Consider the following 19837-nt stretch of genomic DNA (forward strand, 5'->3'; position numbering starts at 1 on the left):
GGCTTAGACAAATTCCTCTAGATCAAGAGTCAGCAAACCTTCTGTAAAGGGCCACATAGTGAGTATTTTAGGTTTTGCAGGCCACAGGGTCTCTGTCATAGTTATTCAACTCTGCCATTGTAGCAAATGCGCATGGCTATATTCCCATAAAACCTTAATTACAAAAACAGGCAGTGGGCTGGATTTGCTCCACAGGCTACAGTTTGCCAACCTTTGCTCTATGTGCAAGTTGGAGAACAGATGGGTGGCAGGAGGGTTCACAGGACATCCCTCTACAAAGCCAAGAAATGCATGAGCCCAAGCTGAGGTAGACATGGGAGAATGGAGAAGAAGGGACAGAGTCAAGAGACAGGCTTTCCATTGGGGCCAGCACAATGCCAGGCACACAGGCAGCACTCAGTTAATGGTGTGGAGCTGCAGAAGCAAATGGACCCTTCAGGACTAGTCACTGGGTAGTTATGGGGGGTGATGAACAAGTGGAGAGAGGGCTCCGAATCAGGAGTCATGAGGAGGGAGGAAATGGACCCTTCAGGACTAGTCACTGGGTAGTTATGGGGGGTGATGAACAAGTGGAGAGAGGGCTCCGAATCAGGAGTCATGAGGAGGGAGGAGCACCTGATGGTGCGAGACTTACTGCGTTTGAGGTTCTGGCAGGACATTTATGATTTCTGTTTACTCACCAAGTGAAAGTTTGTGTGCATCTATTATGTGCCAAGCACTGGATATACTGCATAACAGAGCACAGCACAGGCAAGGCCCACATCCTCAGAGAGTTTAACATCTAGTGGGGTGAAAGACAATAAGCAAGAAAACAGAGATTAGCAGTTGGCATGCATTGAATACTTACCATCTGCCAGGTGCTGTTCTAAGTGCCTTCTATGGGGAAATCAATTCAATGTACACAACAACTCTATGAGATAGGTGTTAATATTATTCCCATTCTACAGATGAAAACACTGAGGCATAGAGAGAAGAAGCAATTACAGCTAGGAATTGGGAATGGAGGTCTAGAACCCATTCCCTTAACTTTACCATGGCTGTTAATTGAAGAAAATAATATTAAATAATGGTGAGGGAAATAAACAGGACACTGGGACAGAGAGTAACAGGGATGATTATGTATGCTGGCCAGAGAAAGCCTCTCTAAGAGGTGACATTTGGACTGAAACTCGAAGGAAGAGAAAGAAACAGACCTGGAAAGAGTAATGGGGAAAGTATACTGGGCAGAGGGAACAGCATGTGCGAATGCTTCGAGGCAGCAAAGACCTCACAGAGGGCTGCTCTAGTGAGCAAGAAGAGTGTGGCGTGGCAACCAGGATGCCTCAGCGCAGCATTCACAACCATTCCGTCCTGTCAGCCACTCTCAGAATTACGCATTATTGTCCTCTATTTGGAGAGGAAGTGACTGGGGTTCAAAAGTGTCCCTCAGTTGTGGCTGGACGTGGTGGCTCATTCCTGTAATCCCAGCACTTTGGGAGGCTGAGACTGGCAGATCACCTGAGGTCGGGAGTTCGAGACCAGTATGACCAACATGGTGAAACTCCATCTCTACTAAAAATACAAAAATTAGCTGGGCGTGGTGGCGCACACCTGTAATCCCAGCTACTTGGGAGGCTGAGACATGAGAATTGCTTGAACCCAGGTGGCGGCGGTTGCAGTGAGCTGAGATCACAGCATTGCACTCCAGCCTGGGCGACAGAGCGAGATTCCGTCTCAAAAAAAAAAAAAAAAAGTTTCACTCAGTTGCATAGTGAGTGGGTGGTGGGATTCTGTCTAGTAAGCAGTCAAAGATACAGACTGGGAGCCTGGCCAACGTGGCAAAACCCCGTCTGTACTAAAAATACAAAAAAACTAGCTGTGTGTGGTGGCAAACGCCTATAATTCCAGCTCTTTTGGAGGCCAAGGCAGGCAGATCACTTGAGGTCAGGAGTTCAAGACCAGCCTGGCCAACATTCCAAAACCCCATCTCTACTAAAAATACAAAAATTAGCCAGGCATGGTGGCATGTGCCTATAATCCCAGCTACTCGAGAGGCTGAAGCAGGAGAATTGCTTGAACCCAGGAGGCAAGGGTTGTAGTGAGCCAAGATCACGCCACTGCACTCCAGCCTGGGTGACAGCCTGGGAGACCCTCTCAAAAAAAAAAAAAAAAAAAAAAAAAAAGATAGAGACTGGGAACTCTAGAGAGAGAATAAGTCTAGGGACATAGGAGAGAGGCAGAAACCTCCACTGGATGGCTTCAGCCTTCCAAGTAAAGCAAGACAGGGTGGCTGTATGGATGGTGATGGAGCTTGAGGAGAGGGGAGCTGTGGCTGCAGGGCCGTAAGGGGCCTGATGAGTGGGACCAGACTCTGGCGTAAGTCAGCAGTGGGCATGTCAGTGCAGGCTTTTCTCTCCCTAGCTGCACTGAGGAATGGCAGGAAGGCCAGGGAAGTCCTTCCTGTTTCTTGCGTAACTCCTGCACCTCTCTGTGCCTGCTAGGACATCATCCTCACCGTGAAGGAGAAGCTGTCCATCCGAAGTATCGAGTACTTTGCACTGGCCCTGGAAGAGCAGTACAGCATCTCCCGGCTGCACCTGCTGCACGAAGAGGAACTCATCCAGCAGGTAGGGAGGACTGACCGCCTGTTCCTGGGAGGCATGGGCTGGGCTGGCTGCATACCTCAGCCAGAACCTCTGGGGACAGGGCTCAGCACATCTGCAGGTTTGATGCACTTTCTCTTGCCCCAGAAGGCACAGAGCTCACTCAGCCTGGGGGTTATGGGACAAGAATCAGCCTGATTTTCATCTGCTAGTATGAGGTAGGCAGGACACAGATTTAAGGTCCCCATTTTGCAGATGTGGAGACAAAGGCTTAGAGAGGTAAGGTGACTTTCTCAAGGTAACACAGCTGATAGAACCCTGATCTTTTGCTTCTAGCTCTGATGATCTTCCCTTGCACCTGCTGCCTTTGAGCCATTAGGGAAGCATTTGTTGCTGTGTCTAAGCCCTTCTTGTGGGACTTACCCCCGATATGGTTCCTGATGGCAGAATAGGGTAAACACAGCCAAACGGTCTATATCACTCAATCTCCCAACCATTCAATAATATGTTGTACCAACTTTTTAAAGCTAAACACAGGTTAGTTCAACAAATCTTTGTGAGTCTGTTACAAAGATGAGGAGGATTTTAACAGTTGGAAATGAGTAATACATAACCTCATAAAAGCCACCCTGAACATTCCTCTTTGCAGATGAATTCTTACCCAATGCACTCACCGATTAGAAGGTTTACTGCTTGCAGACTTTTTAATTACTTCTATTCCATTTGCATTGGGAAAGAAAATCACATTAAATCCCTAAGATAGTTTAAGTGAAATAAAGTAAGTTGTAGAATGGTATGTATACTATATTATTATTTGTGGAAGATAAAAGAATAGACTTATACTGAAGCATGAATATACATAAACTGTCTCTGGAAGGGGCACACAAGAAACTGAAAACAGGAGTTTCCTCTGGAAAGGGAAACTGGAAGATAGGTGAGTGGGAAATGCTGCCCTTTTGAACCTTTTACATTTTGTACCCAGGAAAAAGAAAGTCAAATTAGGAGTAAAGGTCTATGGCTGTCTTGGGAAGCACTAGAATTGAAATCTCTGGGAACTGTCTTTCACTGTCTGTGTTTTATAGAGTGGTTTTGTGGAATGACTGCAAGGACAAAGGCAGTTAGGAGATTAATAGTATCTCCCTTACCCATCGCAGGTGGTAGAAAGGGAGGAGTCACATGACTACCGCTGCCTCTTCAGGGTCTGTTTTGTTCCCAAGGACCCCCTGGACCTCCTGAAAGAAGACCCCGTGGCCTTTGAATACCTCTATCTGCAGGTGACTGGGTCTGTGCTTCCTAAAATAACAGTGGTTGTTCTCAAAGATGGTGCACTGGGTGATTTTGAACGTGAGCTCGAGGCCATTAAACAACTCCCTGGTAGGGATTCTCTTTATCTGAAGGAGAATGGGCCTGATCATCGCTCAGAATTCCCTTTTCCATCACTGAGTTGCTGTTTTAGCAGGTGTGCGATATCAGAATGAAATTCAGGCTCAGTCCTCAATGTAGATGATACATTTTCTAATACCATTTTAGGATCTTTAGAATTACAGTTTTTATTGCCAAAAGGGGCCTTAGTGCTTTAAAACCTCGTTTTAGAATGATGACACTGAGTCTTGGAAAGGTCGTGTGATTTGCCTGGGTCACTCACTTAGTGGCAGAGCCAAAACCTGGTTCTTGATCCGTGGCCTGGTGCTCCCCCTATTCTACCTCCTTAGATGAGAGTTATGATGCCATTTTTATTCTGATGAAAAATAATCATTTGGAGCCGGGTGCGGTAGCTCACGCCTGTAATGTCAGCATTTTAGGAGGCCGAGGCAGGTGGACCACTTGAGGTCAGGAGTTTGAGAACAGCTTGGCCAACATGGTGAAACCCCGTCTCTACCAAAAATACAAAAAATTAGCCAGCCGTGGTGGCACACACCTACAGTTCCAGCTGCTTGAGAGGCTGTGGCAGGAGAATCACTTGAACCTTGGAGGTGGTGTTTGCATTGAGCCAAGATCATGCCACTGCACTCCAGCCTGGGTGACAGAGCGGGATTCTGTCTCCAGAAAAGAAAAAAAAAAAGAAAAAGAATCATTTGGCAGATATCACCATTTTACAGATGAGATAACTCAGACTAGGTGGATTGGACTGCCCCAAGTCTTACAGAAATGGTGGCAGAAAATAATAATAATAGCAATAACAACGCCATCAATACTTTATATTTGTATAACACTGTGTGCCTTATACCTGCTTTCATATGCATTATCTAATTTAAGTCTCACAGAAACCACATAAGGTAGATTTTACTATCCTCATTTACCAGACACCAAATGCTTGGAGAGTCTTGGTAACTTAACCAAGGTCACACAGCCAAGAACTGTCAGAGCCAGCTCTCAAAGCGGAGCTCCTGGTCCTGCTGCCTTTCACCCGAGAGAACGAGGGGACACAGTATGTCTGCTTTTGTTTCCCATCTGCTCTATTTAATCTCTTCTAGAGCTGCAGCGATGTGCTCCAGGAGCGCTTTGCTGTAGAAATGAAATGTAGCTCTGCACTCCGACTCGCGGCTCTGCACATCCAGGAACGGATCTACGCCTGTGCCCAGCCACAGAAGATCTCTTTAAAGTATATAGAGTGAGTGGCAGGGGATGGCAGCTGCATTGCATTTATAACTTGCTGGCCCCTGGCCAGGAGGGCCAGATGCCACAGAAAGCTGATAGTCACCCACCTACCCATCTGTCTGTTGTCTTTCCATCCATTTCCCTCTGCACCCTCTCTAATCTGACCTGGCTCCCCCAGATGTCTGAACCTGGCTGCTCTCTCTGGGACAGAAGCCAACTCCAGATGGAATGTCACAGGATTCCCTTGTAAATTGCCTGTTCCTGGGAAGATGTCTTGGGAAATCAGTTGCCAGCATCAGTGTTAAGCTTTTCTAGGGGTGGGAATGCCTTGGAAGTTAATTTTTCCCGTGGATATGAACCAGTTCCTATTGCATTATGTCTCCACTAGAGCAGTTTCAAGTCCTACGATTCCAGCACCTTCTGATTCTTAGCTTAGAATTGTTCTGGACAGCATCACTCAGGTTTGCTAAGCCCCTCCCCAGATCTCAGCTCTGTCCTGCCTGAGCATCAGAATCAGATGGGGAATCATATTTTTAAAAATACAGCATATCCTTGGCCCTACCCCTGATGTACTAAGTCCAATCTCTCGCAGCAGGGCCTGAGAATCTGTAGTTTTAGCAATTTTCTGGGGGATTTTGAAGCTGCTAGGCTGGCACCATGCTGAAGCTTAGCCTAGGGGATTCACAGGAGCTCTGCGTTGCCCCATGAGAGTGTCTTGTACTCTCTTGTATGCTGTCATTATTTGCCATGTATTTTGTAGTGAAAAAGATTCAGAACTCCTGCTCTGACTGATAGATGGTCACACCACACCAAGAGTAATGAGCTCCCAGAATGATCAATGGGGTTTAGTTCCTGAATGCCTGTGGGGATTTTTGTGGAGAGTGTGTGTATGTGTGTGTGAGAAAGAAAAAGAGAGGAGGAGAAAGTGGCTCGTAATTGCTGTATTATGGGAACACTAAGTACTGAATCAAATGTAATTATGCTCTTCATTAGAGCCAAGTACCCTGTAGAAATGGGCCTCCTTGTCTCCAATGTCTCATGGCAGGAAAGACTGGGGAATAGAGAACTTTATATCTCCAACTTTACTCCGAAACATGAAAGGCAAAGACATCAAGAAAGCCATTAGCTTCCACATGAAGAGGAACCAGAATTTGCTGGAACCCCGACAGAAGGTAATGAAGGTGCCTCTGCCGACCCACTCAGCTGTCGTCTGTGAAACCTTAGGAAAAACATTTTCAACACTGCCTGGATTTTAGACCAATGAATAACTCTGACTTCAAGTGTTTTTTTTTCTCTATTAAGCAACTTATTTCTGCTGCCCAGCTACGTTTAAATTATCTACAGATCCTCGGAGAACTCAAGACATATGGTGGAAGAATCTTTAATGCTACTTTAATGGTATGTATTAGAGAACTGTGAAATCCTACTCACGTAAGGGACCTTAGAGATCCTCTGAAAATCAATGTGTCTTTTAGCCTAAAATTCCTGAGGACTCTGTCATGTACTAGAATTTGTCTGGTAAACTAAATAGTACACCACTGGAAAATATTTACCACGCGTTTGCTTGGTGCTACCCCTGTGATAGATGCTAGGGGAAGCAGGGCTGAATAAGATGTGATTTCCGTCCTTGAAGGATGAAACAAGCTACCCAACAAAATGAAGCAAAGCCATGAGACAGGTTCAGGCCTATTGCTGTGGAGTTTGGAGACAGAAGGTAGCACTGCTTGCTTCAGGGTAAGTATAGGGAGGAGAAGGGGTTAAGGAAAGAGGCAAGAGGAAGCCTGAATTTGGCCAGACTTCAGTAGAGAGGAAAAGGCATTCTGGGTCAGAAGGGGATGGTAAGCAGTTCACTCTGGAGCTTTGGGTATATGAAGGTGAAGAGGAAAATTGGAAATCATGAAAGAAAAATAAGAGTGTTTGACTGCCAAGCTGAGTCTCTGATTGTTCAGAAGGGAGGAATGAGGGGTGGGCCTGAGAAGAGAAACGAGAAGCAGAAAAGCCCTCTGCTCTCTTCCCATTCTCCTGCCTGCTTCTTTTTGGAGCCTAGGCCTAGAGCTTGTGCCTTTCAGCAGTCAGTGTCTCGGGGGTATGGTTTCAGAGAGCTTTCCTCCAGCACTGTCAGCCCCAGGACTCTGCAGCACAAAACCAATTTACAATTAGAGTGGGGTTTTAAAAAAATATTAACCAAAATCCTTTCAAAAGATTTGGTATGCATCTCAGTCATTTACAGTGATGGGCCAATGTAATCAGACTGCTAACCTAACAATGTAGATGGAAGAAGAGAATCAGTGTTTTGAAAGAAAGGAAGAGCATCAGATAGTTAGGGGAAGGGGAAACACAGATGGATTCTTCGTTTAAGTAGAAGACCCAAAAGGTGGGAAAGAGACTAGATCACAGAAAGGAAAGTTTTGAAGGTACAAGAAAAACTTCCCAATTTTTCTAAGGGCTAATTCTACCCTCTCCCAGCTGTCCAGTTCCAGTCCCCAGTCTCCCTTTACCTTTCTTGTCTAAGGAAAGAACTGGTAGTGGGAGAAGCAACCAGCTACATGGAACAGGTTCAGGGTGCTTGCTGGGCACTGCGGGTTACAAATAGAGATAAATGCAGACTCTGTTGTCAAGAAACTTAATGTGGAAAATGAGACTTAATACAAATAATTAAAATAAGAAGTCATAAGTGTTCAGTGCTAGTAGAGAAGTAAGAGGAAGTGGTACAGAACAACAGAGAGGAAAGGGAGATTTCTGGCTTAAGGAGGCTGAGATCAGGCAGATGCTTTCCATAGGCAGTAGGTTTTGATGTAAGCTTTTAAAGAAGGATCAGGATTTAAATGGGAAATGATGGCAGGGAAGGGATTCAAAGAGCAGGAAGATAGGTACATAGGTGTGAAAATACAGATGTGTTTATGGCTGTGGCTCAGGGCTATATTGGAAAGAGTTTTGGGGAAATAAATTTACACTTTGATTTAGCTGTTGATGGGGTCCAAGTTAGGCAATAGTCTGGAGGAGTGGTGGTTAGGATCCAAAGTAGGAATCAAGGAGTTTGCAGCGAGAGGTATTATTGCTTACATGTGAAATGTATTTTCACTCGCTTGCGAATGGAGACTAATTCCCCTTCCACCCTCTGCAGTTACAGGATAGAGAATCCTACATTGCCCTTCTAGTTGGAGCCAAGTATGGGATTAGCCAGGTTATCAATAGCAAACTCAACATCATGTCCACATTGGCAGAGTTTGCAAACATCAGCCGTGTAGAGCTAACGGAAGAGTCTGAGAAAGTGAGCGTCGTCAAAGTGTATCTTCAGGACGTCAAGGTAACACAATGGGGAGAGATTCTGAATTCAACTGCTGGAATTTGGGGCCAAATAGGGGCCAGGCTAGTTTATATGAATTTTAAATAATAATAAAGTCTAATGTCCAATATCTGCTTAAGAGGACGAATTGTCCATCCTGTTCTATCAAACGGAAAGTGGTAAATGGTAAATTTTCCTGAAGAGGTCCTAAAAGGTTTTTTTGCACAAACTGAGATGGACCATGTGCTTTCCTGTTGGATTTAGAAACGTAGATGGAGAACACCAGAGGATTTTTTTTTTTTTTTGAGACAGAGTCTCACTCTGTTGCCCAGGCTGGAGGGCAGTGACACGATCTTGGCTCACTGCAAGCTCCGCCTCGTGGGTTCACACCATTCTTCTGCCTCAGCCTCCCAAGTAGCTGGGACTACAGGCGCCCACCACCATGCCCGGCTAATGTTTTGTATTTTTTCGTAGAGATGGGGTTTCACTGTGTTAGCCAGGATGGTCTCGATCTCCTGACCTCGTGATCCACCCGCCTTGGCCTCCCAAAGTGCTGGGATTACAGGCGTGAGCCACCGCGCCCGGCCCACCAGAGGATTTTATCACATGAATGGGACCAGATTGCTGCTCAAAAGCTTTGAGTGGTGGGCATTAAAATGGGTAAATAGTGGGCCCGGTGTGGTGGCTCACGCTTGTAATCCCAGCTACTTGGGAGGCTGAGGCAGGAGAATCACTTAAACCCAGGAGGCAGAGGTTGCAGTGAGCAAAAGATTGCACCATTGCACTCCAGCCTGGTGACAAGAGCAAAACTCTGTCTCAAAAAAAAAAAAAAAAAAGGTAACTAGTGCAGGGTACCTCCTGAGCCTCTCTCAAAGGTCTTACTTTTATTCTGCCCTCCTTTGATTTAATCCCAACATACTCAATATTGGTGCTTTATTCTTATCACCCTCTCCCTCATTCTCCACATGTTCTTGCTCCTTTTTCTTTTTTAAGTTCAGTCTTGCAAGTCCCTCTGCAGGAATGAACAGGGTGGGATGGGGCAGTTTGGATATGGCGCTGGGGTAGAGGATGAGGAGTCAGAAGACACTGTATAGATTGGGTGGGAAGGACCCACTGTGTGTGAGTGAGTGTGTGAGTGCGTGAGAGTGTGTGTGTGTGTGTGTGTATGTGTGCGCACACACACACGCGATGGTGTCTGTACGAGTACATGCATGTCCTCATTTAAAGCCTTGCAAGTGAGGATATGGGGCACCAGGAGACCTACCTGTGGACCATGGCCGGATTTACCTGGAATCTCTCGTTGGTCCCACATGGCTTTGTTGTCAGTCTTCAGACTGTCCCTTGGTCCTTGATAAACATGAGATTTCTATTTGCTTTCAAAGGTTCTGACTTTGCTGCTGGAATCCAACAGTGCAAAAGACCTAGCCTGCCTGATTGCTGGGTACTACAGGCTGTTGGTTGACCCAGTTACCTCCATTTTCCTCTGGCCTGGAAACAAACAACAAGCGCACCGGGTATCTGCAGAAGAAGGTGAGGCACTGAGTCTTGCCCCAATAAGGACAGGCCCCTTTCACTGGCCTTGTAGGTAAGGGCAGCCTAAAGGGAGGTGGTGAATTGAATTGAGCCGAGGCTTCAGCTCAAGTGGATGAGAGCTATTTCTCTGTTTATTTCCTAGTAAACAATTGATCTTTCATAAATACTAAACAAAGAAGCTTTCTTTGTATCTGAAATTTTCCTGAAACCAAGGAATGCTGTGGAAGAGCTCTAGTTCCCTGCTGTATTTCCTAAGATTGTCTCTCAGATCCACTGCATTTTATCATTATTTCTCAGCCAGGCATTGTGGCTCACGCCTGTAATCCCAGCACTTTGTGAAGCTGAGGCAGGTGGATCACCTGAGGCCAGGAGTTTGAGACCAGCCTGGCCAACATGGTGAAACCTCATCTCTACTAAAAATACAAAATTAGCCGAGCATGGTGGCACATGCTTGTAATCCCAGCTACTTGGGAGGCTGAGGCAAGAGAATCGCTTGAACCCAGGAAGTGGAGGTTGCAGTGAGCCGAGATCGTGCCATTGCACTCCAGCCTGGGCAACAAGAGCGAAACTCCATCTTAAAAAAAAAAAAAAAAAAAAAAAGATTATCATTATTTCTCATCAAAAAGAGATGTCACTTATTTGTTCAGGAAGTAGATGACCTGGCTTCTCTTCCTTACCTATGCACTCTTTTGCAATCTCTTGAAGTATAAAAGAACTTCTCTGCAAGGCAGGTAAGACAGTTTCCTAGGCCAGCTCCCAGTTTCTGCCAGGCTTTTGCCTCAGCACCATTGATGCAGCATGAACCTAGGGCTGTGCTGATAAATGCTTAACAACTCCCTGCAGAGGGACAAAAACAGTTTGAAGGAATTGCCCAATTCCATGGTGTCAACATTCTCACGATGGGTAATTTCAGGCTACCACGATATGATGATACCATGATGAATGTGGAGATGGGAAGAGGTGATCAATAGCACACCACTGTAGAGTGTTTCCTCTATATGGATAAAGTAGAAATCAGCTCAAGAGAATAGGTACTAATACAATAAGTAAAACAGTTAGAAAGTGATGAGTTTGGAGTATCTGTTACCTTTGTTTTTATTTTTATTTTTTTTAGAGGCAGTCTCTCTCTGTCACCCAGGCTGGAGTGCAGTGGTGCAATCTTGGCTCACTGCAGCCTCCACCTCCTGGGTTCAAGTGATTCTCCTGCCTCAGCCTCCCAAGTAGCTGAGATTACAGACACCTGCCACCACGCCCGGCTAATTTTTGTACATTAGTAGAGATGGGGTTTCGCCATGTTGGTCAGACTGGTCTCGAGCCCCTGACCTCAAATGATCTGCCCACCTTAGCCTCCCAAAGTGCTGAGATTACAGGCATGAGCCACGGCGCCCAGCCTGTTACCTTTGTTGTTACACAATGTATTTATGAACGAGGGGTGACTCCTCAGAGTCTGCTCAGGGAGACAACGCAGAGTGGCAACAGGGCTGTTGTGGAGGGGTTGTGGGGGGGACTGCTGCTGCCTGTCAGAGAAAGTTCTCTAGAGGAAGAGGTATTGGAAATAGATCTTGAAGAACATGCTGGAGTTAACCAGGCACGGAAAAGGAAGACAGATCATTCAAGGCCGAGGGGGCCTGGAGGAATGACCCGAGGAAAAGGCCATGACCTGAAAGGAGCTCTCCCTATGGGTGGCTGGAACGTGGCAGGGAAGGCTGCCATGGGGGACTGGGTGCCTGAGGAGGGGCTGGACCATATTGCAAGAGGGGAAAAGGGAGATGGTGAAAAGAGATAGGAGCCCCACCACGAGAAGGGCAGCTAGACTACAGAGGAGACCTCAGCGCCATTCTGTGAGGGAGACACTAGACTGAAGGGGAGGTGTCAAGACCATCCTGTCGTGGGTACTAGACTGCAGAGGAGGGTTCAGGGCCATCCTGGGAGAGGGGGAAGAGCCTGCAGAGGAGGCCTTAGGGCCATCCTTTGAGGCAAGGGAGGACTAGACTGTGCATGAGGCGCCATGGCCATCCTGTGAGAAGGGCAACAAGGCCATACTGTGAGAGTCTGTAACTGTTGTGGGGGAGGCCAGGCTCTTCCCCGTAAGCAGGGCAGCCATCAGAGGGTTTAAGCAGGGTGTGATGAGGTCAGAGAGAAGTTTGAGAAAGATCACTCTGGAGGCTTACAGGAATAAAGAGATTGCAACCTGGCTCAGTGCTCCCCAGCCTCCTACCATTAATCCTTCCTGAGAACCTGCCGCTGGATGAGTTTTCACTGTCCTACAAAGCCCATAGCACCCATGGATCCAGAAGGCCAGGCTTTAGAATGGTGCCAGCCTAGCAGCCTCGTACTCGTCATAAAATTGCTAAAAATACAGATTCTCAGGCCCCACTTCTAGCGATCTGACTCAGTACATCAGGGGTAGGGCCAAGGATCTGTTGTATTTTTAAAATATGATTCCCCATCTGACTTTGACGCCCAGGCAGGATAGAACTGAGGTCTGGGGAGGGGCTTAGCAAACCTGGGCAGTGCTGCCCACACAAAGAGGAATCAAAGTAAATACCACATTTCCATGAACAGACAGTTCTCCTTGGAGGTGGGGATGGAGTTAATCCAGCCTCCTTTAGCTCAGAGAGATGTGGGACAGGCGGTCTGATAGCATGGGGAGAACATGGAAGCTGGAGTCCCTCGGATCCCGTGTTCGTCAGTATAGGACGGTCTTAGGCCAGCCACCCTCTGGCCCTCAGTTTTCTCGTCTGGCAGGGTTGGGTGGGGGTCAGGGGGCTAGAAGGACACATAGGTAGGAGAATTCTGTTGTGTAACTGTTGCTGTACCCTGTGTTGCAGGCTATGAATCCAGGGCCTGCAGTGACTCAGAGGAGTCCTCTGAGGTGGACTGCGTACTCGAACCTCTCTCTGACAGGCGCCTGGTGAAACTGGCACCCTGCAGATCACTCATAAAGGAGGAGCAGCCTCCTGGGAACAGCCCCACACCTGAGGTGGCTAGGAGGGGCCCCAGCACCTGCGGGGCCAGCAGCACGACAGACAGTGCCGAGTCCGAGGCGTCCGACTCAGCCAACACTGAGAGCCGCGGCTACAGGACCAGTGGCTCGAGTGAGTCCATGGACGCTCTGGAAGAGGATGACTTAGACACCTGCTCCTCCAGCAGGTCCACCTTCTTCCACTTTGGCTCGCCAGGCCTCGCAGAGAGCATTGACTCTGACAGCCAGGAGGAGAGAAGCGGGATTGAAACCAGTGGCTTCCTCTGTCTCCTGGACCTGGCCCAGAGAGCCAACCCCCAGTGCCAGAAGACAGAGTTTTCCGAGAGTGCTGCTTTGGAGACATTTGGCTGGGCACCAGAACTGAGCACAGTCAGGCTGGACCCCAGGCTGTATGAAGGCAGCCACGCTGACTACTACAGCCTGTGTTCCAGTGTCTCCCCGGCCAGCTACCTGAGTGACAGTTCCGAGAGTACAGCTTCCCGGCAAGGGGGAGCCCCGCCAGCCTGGGGTCAGCAGGGCTGGACTGAGGCCCAGCCCAGTTCCATGCTGGAACCCCTGGCCCTGCACCCACCACTGGCCTTTGAGGATGGCAGCTCAGATGAGGAATACTATGACGCGGCTGATAAGCTCACTCCCCCAGGCCCCCCGTCAGGTGAGCCGTCCCTTGCAGGTCTGCAGACACGGCAGGCAGCTCCTGAGTGCCTCCCGGGGATCAAGGCCTGGGGCCAAGCTTGAGAGGAAGGCACATGAGTGAAACAGGGTCCCTGTACACTTCTGAGGAGGTAGATACAGATTCCATGGACCAAATTTTAGGCATCGTGGCAGGCCTGCAAGGGAGGTTCAGACAACTGTGGCAAGCAGATGGGAGGGATTCATCCAACAGTGGGAATCAGGGAAGGCTTCCCAGAAGAGGGGGCAAATGGGCTGGGCCCTGTGGGAGGGACAGAATTTACAAAAAAGGAAAGGGCTTGACAGGAGTGCCCGGCAGAGCGAAGTGGCTATGTCATCACTGATCCTGAGGCTGCATTAAAGGAGGCCTTGAAGCAAGAAGAACCAGACAGACAGGCCGTCTGTGGCCCTGCAAGGCCTTCTGGGGTCCAAGGGACCCTGACATCAGAAGGTAGGGGATCTGGTGGCTGTGTTTCTATCAGGTTCCTCATACATTCCTCCACCGAGAGTGTGGAGGGTCTTTCCAAGCAGAACTGAGATCCTGGCAGGACACACACACACACACACACACACACACACACACACACACACTGCATTCTGAAGGAAACATATTGGAAAAGAGCACATGGATGTTGAAGGTGACCTGCCAGGAGCTGGGAGAGCTGCAGCCCTTGTTCCTGTCTCGGCACTTTCCTGCTGCTCTCTGATCCTCTATTCCCAGACCTCCTGTGCTCTCCCACTGTTCTGGAGAGAAAGGCCAGCTCCTCTGGGAGCCCCATCAGGCCCTTTGAGGCCCTCTGTGACATGGCCTCTGCCTGTCTCTCTCCCTCCTCCTGCATTCCTGCCATACAGACCTCCTTGCCACTTTCTACAAGTGCCTGTTTTTTCCCCCTCCTCCAGCCTTTGCACATGCTGCTCTTTCTGACCGAAACACTCCTCCCCAGATCGTGGCTGATGGTGCCCATCCGTCTATCAGATTCCGGTTGGAATTCACTTCCTCAGAGAACATTTCCCAGGCTTCCCAGGCCAGGGCAAGTCTCCCCATCTCTGTCACATGTTCTTGCATTACCTGGGGCTCTCCCTGTCTGGCACCTCGCACAGCCTGTAAATTACATATTTACTTGTATGATTCTGTGTTGATGTTTCTCTCCATCACTAGACCGAGAACTCCTTTGAGCGTTAGAACTGTGTGTTTCTCACTGTGTCCCCAGCACACAGCGTCTAGCAATTGTTGTTAAATGAATGAATGAAGTCTCCACCATCTACACTGAGTTCAATTGACTGTACCTCTAAGGAAAGGAGAAACCATGGCCAGACTCCTTACTGCTCCCCAAAGTACCCAGACAACCACTTTCCATGCCCCAGCCTTGCCCTGCAGGGCCAGCCATTGTGCCGGGGGGCAGGATGGAAGTGTGGCAGAAACCATCAGTCAGGGCCCTTTTATGGGAGTCTAGTCAGGAACATATGGGGTTCATACCAGACACTGTTTTGTTTTTGTTTTTGTTTTTTATAGGGAGCCAGTGTAGTGCTGAGAAAAGAGCCAGAACTAGGATTCCTCAGCCTGGGTTCTGATTTGGCCCCTGACTGACTATTGGAGCCTCTTTGTCTTTGGGACTTAGAAACTCCTTGGTCGGTGGCTGTCAGTAGCCTAGGGCAGTCAAATGTGACTGGGCATCAGAATCACCTGAGGGACCTTGTTTAAAAACTATAGATTTGGCCGGGCGCAGTGGTTCACACTTGTAATCCCAGCACTTTGGGAGGCAGAAGCAGGCAGATCACCTGAGGTTGGGAGTTTGAGACTAGCCTGGCCAACATGGCAAAACCCCATCTTTACTAAAAGTACAAAAATTAGCCAGGCATGGTGGCGTGCACCTGTAATCCCAGCTACCCAGGAGGCTGAGGTAGGAGAATCACTGGAACCTGGGAGGCAGAGGCTGCAGTGAGCCGAGATTGCACCACTGAACTCTAGCCTGGCCAACAGAGCAAGATTCTGTCTCAAAAAACAAAAAACAAAAAAACCTAAACCTTATAGATCCCTAGGCCCTAGCCTCAGAGATTCTGACTCCTCAGAGATTGTGGGGAGCAGCCTAGGACTTGATAAGGTTTCTAATAGCATACAGCCAGGTTAGAAATGACTGGTCTGACTACCCAAGCTCTCTGATTCTCAAGTGCTAGGCTCTGATCCTAATTCCTTCTGGCTGATTCCCAAGGGTTCTTTACAATAGTGCCTCTCCTCCCAGAAAGATCCATCCTGGGATGCACAAAACTCGATGCCTGTGACAGAGTTGTGGCCCCTTTACATTCAGACATGAAATGGCAATAACGAGCAGCTTCCTTTTAGTGAATACCTAATGAGGCAGAGGCCTTGTGCTGGGTGCTTTATAAAAATGCACTAATTCCTTTAACCTGCACGGCAGCACTGAATGGCACCATTGGCACTAAAAGACTTGGGTTAACATCAGCACAAAGAAAAAGTGTTAGGAAGTAAGATTGTTTATAGAATTGCTGGCAAGCCTGAAGACCTGGGTTCAGAAATAGACAGCAACCAGGCTAAGAGTCTAGTCACAGGATTCCCTACCTGTATTATCAAGCTATTGTGGTTGGAAAGAATGGCTCTGCTTTTTTTTTTTTTTTTTTTTTTTTTTTTTTTTTTTTTTTAATGTCTTTGGGTTTGGAATTCTGGAGAATTTGTAGCTGATTGGCTGGCGTGGACAGAGCATCTTCGTGAACAGTTCCAGCAGACTCTAACCATTGGGGAGATGTCATTCCCTAAACAGAAGTTGAGATGCTGTGACCAAAAGATAATTAAATGGATCTTAGGCATCCAAAAATTTAATAATGTCTATCACAGCTGGGTGCAGTGGCTCAATCCTATAATCCAAGCACCTTGGGAGGCTGAGGTGGGAGGATTGCTTGAACTCAGGAGTTCAAGGCTGCTGTGAGCCGTCACACCACTGCACTATAGCCTGGGGGACAGAGTGAGACCCTGTCTCAAAAAAAAAGAAAAAAAAAAGTCGGCCAGGCGCGGTGGCTCATGCCTGTAATCCCAGGCCTAGGTAGGCGGATCATTTGAGGTCAGGAGTTCGAGACCACCCTGACCAATATGGTGAAACCCCATCTCTACTAAAAATACAAAAATTAGCTGGGCATGGTGGCAGATGCCTGTAATCTCAGCTACTCCGGGGGGATGAGGCAGGAGAATTGCTTGAACCTGGGAGGCAGAGGTTGCAGTGAGCCGAGATCACGCCACTGCACTCCAGCCTGGGTGACAGAAAGAGACTCCGTCTCAAAAAAATAAAAAAAAATCTGTCACAATTATTATCCCCATCTTTCAGATGAGGAAGTTGAGGAGATCAGGATTGAACTTGCTCAAGGTTACACAGCCTAGCCAGAATTTAAACCCAGGAAAGCCCAAGGCCTGAGCCCAAGCTCTATTAACCTCTTTTTTTTGTGCTTTTTAATGTATTTTTTCTTTCCTGACTCCCAGGGCCCAGAGATGTTTCTACTGCAGAACCCAGTGCCACAAGCTTGCAGAATAAGGCCAGCACTTCTAGCCCTGAGAACAGCCTGCCTTGTGGGCCAGATGGAAGACAGCCAAGCAGGAGGGGAGGGGTGAAGAAATATGCCAAGACCCTGAGGAAAAGAAGGTCTTTCCTACAGACCGACTACACCTCTCAGGTCTCATTTCCCCTGGTGCCATCAGCCTCCCTGGAGAGTGTAGACGACGTGTGCTACTATGACAGGGAGCCCTACCTGGCCCTTGGTGCACCCTCCCCAACTGTGTCCTCTCTGCAGGACATGCAGGGTGAGCCTGGCCTTCTGGAGACCAAGGCCTTGGGGCTGCTGGCTCCTCTGAGGGAGACCAAGAGCACAAACCCAGCCTCCAGGGTCATGGAGATGGAGCCCGAGACCATGGAAACCAAATCAGTCATCGACTCTCGAGTGTCTTCTATTTCTGCCATTCGCTTCCGGATTGACCCCAACAATAAAGAGAATTCTGGTGTTGTCCCTGCTGCCAGCTCCTCAGCAAGCACTCCTCACTGTTCTAACCCAGGTTCATCTGGCCCAGATACTGCTCAGGCAAGGCCTTCCCAAATCTTACCTCTATCTCAAGACCTGGATGGGATTGCCCCCAAAGAACCAACCATAGAGCATGGAGACAGCTCCTTCTCCCTCTCCAGTGGTGACCCTAACCCAGACAGAGCCTGCCTGGCCAGCAACCCAGGACTAAATAATGTCTCTCAAGGAGACACACTAGAGCTCCAGTTGGAGCCCCATGTCCAGTTGGAAATGGGATTGGAATCTTTTTGTACAAATCATATACAAGAAACTGCCCCCAAATACACAGAGCCTTTGTTGTCTCCTAGAGATGAGCCTAGAAGTGATGAATGTGGAATAAATCCAGGAGAGAAGATAGCTTCTATCCCTACAAAGGAAGAGCCACAAGGACAACTATCTCTGGAAAGAGACAGAGAAGTTACAAACAAAAATGGCACCAACGTATTTCAGGAGGAGTCTAGGAAGGATTCAGGTGACTCCCCGGGTGATGTGTCAAATAATGTTTCACAGACTCTTGATATTAGCTCTCCAGCTGGTAAAATAGTAACCTCCCTTTCTTTAGATGCTCCTGTAACAGGGACCGAGCAGATCCCACCACATCCCCCTAGAGACCCTCAAGGACAGAGCAGAGAACCCCCAGGGCAAGGCTGCCAGGCTCAAGAACAAAAACTATTCGTAGAGTTGGATTTAGACCCTGATTTCTTTCTTGGGAAGCAGACAGTTTCACCAGCCGTCCCTCCAGAGGGGATCAAGGCAGAGGCACCTAACCATGTGACAGGGCAAGATATAGCCCCTAGGGACAGCCCTGAGTGGGTCTGTTTTAATCCTGAGCCTTCCCTGCCAGAACCACTACCATGTCCACAAGAGGATCCTCACTTAGAAACTTCAAACCATTGCTTACTCTCAGAAGGCAAAAGTGACAGCTCTAGCATCTGCCTTTCTGCTGAGAAGTCTTTTCTGTGCTTTGCCCCAGAAAGCCATCCTGAAGTCTCTGCCAGTCTCAGGGTGGCCACATCTTTGGGTTTTGCAGGCATGAATGAGATGGTGGCTCCCAGGATAGGGATGGACCAGTGCAGCTGTCAGTTCTCCTATGCCACATGCTTCCGTGGCCCGCAGCCTGAGACAGAGGAAGAAGACAGGGACTTGGAAGCACACCCCATGGCCCCCCTCACCTCACCGCCCTCTGCGGGAAGCCCGGTGGTTCTGCCCTGGAGGCCTGCCCGAGCCCACAGCTGCACCACCGCACCCCTGTCGAGGAAAAGCCACATCTGGCCAGAGTACTGCTCCAGGGCACTGAGACAGCTGAAAGCCACCCCTGCCAGCACCCCTGAGGGCTTCATCCAACTCATGGAGAGCTTGCTGGAGCTACAAGACATTTTAGAAACTTCCTGGGGGGTTGGAAACAAACATCCCCCAGAGAAGTGCACCTGGCACTTTACCGAAAGCCGGAGCCGCCTCTGCATGGGCTCCCAGAAGCTCCTGTCGAGCTGTCGGCATGTGATCAGAATGGACCAGTCCCCCGAAGAGATGCAGGGGGCCGTGCGTGACACCTTCCAGCACCTGGTCCAGCTGGCCGGCCTGTGCTTTCAGTTCACAGACTGTAGCCGCTGCTCCGCCCGGCACAGGGAGGCAGCGGGGAACCTGAGGGATGTGGTGTACACCTACCATCAGTTTATAGAGGCTGCTAAATCGACCTGCGAGAGAGGCTACCACGACCTGAGTGTGAAACTCCTGGCCCGTCAGTGCACGGCCCTCACGGCCGCCGTGTTCTGTTTGACCCAGAAGTTCCGGGCATCCACGGCCCTGTAAACAGGTCAACGGCCCAAGGGCCTCCTGCCCTGTCCTGCCTTGGACACTTCCCTGAGAAGCCCCTTCCACTCTCCCACCCACCCTCTTCAAATGTTTACTATATAGAGTATTCAAATAAACTGCTGCTTAATCTTGGCCTGAGTCATAGAGTTTGGGTTAAAAGCATTCACTTATATTCGTTCAACAGACATTCACTGGATACTTCCTTTGTGCCAGGCCTTGGGATTTACAGATGAGTAAGACAAGTCTCTCCCCCTGGTCAGGATGCTTACAGACTCTCTAGGCACAGATTAGTTAGATCACTATCAGCAAAGT

The 19837-nt window shown here is 48.6% G+C and overlaps 1 protein-coding gene across 13 annotated transcripts in view, besides 1 other annotated feature; it reads left to right on the forward strand.

The window, feature by feature from the left end:
* Nucleotides 1–19657, forward strand: part of FRMPD1 (FERM and PDZ domain containing 1) — a 143676-nt gene extending 124019 nt beyond the window's left edge. For 12 of the 13 annotated variants that reach the window (NM_001371224.1, NM_001371225.1, XM_047423003.1 and 9 more), the window contains 9 exons: nucleotides 2481–2606; nucleotides 3737–3856; nucleotides 5057–5193; nucleotides 6226–6352; nucleotides 6483–6578; nucleotides 8305–8487; nucleotides 9849–9996; nucleotides 12831–13637; nucleotides 17142–19657. In NM_001371224.1, coding sequence (NP_001358153.1) covers nucleotides 2481–2606; nucleotides 3737–3856; nucleotides 5057–5193; nucleotides 6226–6352; nucleotides 6483–6578; nucleotides 8305–8487; nucleotides 9849–9996; nucleotides 12831–13637; nucleotides 17142–19522 — 4125 coding nt within the window. In that variant the 3' untranslated portion in view covers nucleotides 19523–19657. Of the gene's footprint in view, nucleotides 1–2480; nucleotides 2607–3736; nucleotides 3857–5056; nucleotides 5194–6225; nucleotides 6353–6482; nucleotides 6579–8304; nucleotides 8488–9848; nucleotides 9997–12830; nucleotides 14106–17141 lie in introns of all 13 variants that reach the window. The other variant, XR_929220.3, reaches the window with a different exon arrangement.
* Nucleotides 18643–19144: an enhancer, noted in NCBI's record as "H3K4me1 hESC enhancer chr9:37745887-37746388 (GRCh37/hg19 assembly coordinates)". NCBI's record gives its function as "activates a minimal SCP1, AML or CMV promoter by ChIP-STARR-seq in naive H9 embryonic stem cells {active_cell/tissue: H9 hESC(naive)}" and the evidence as "EXISTENCE:reporter gene assay evidence [ECO:0000049][PMID:30033119]".
* Nucleotides 19658–19837: the final 180 nt, after the last annotated feature.

The sequence above is a fragment of the Homo sapiens genome, chromosome 9 (assembly GCF_000001405.40).
Source record: "Homo sapiens chromosome 9, GRCh38.p14 Primary Assembly".
Taxonomy (NCBI): Eukaryota; Metazoa; Chordata; class Mammalia; order Primates; family Hominidae; genus Homo; species Homo sapiens.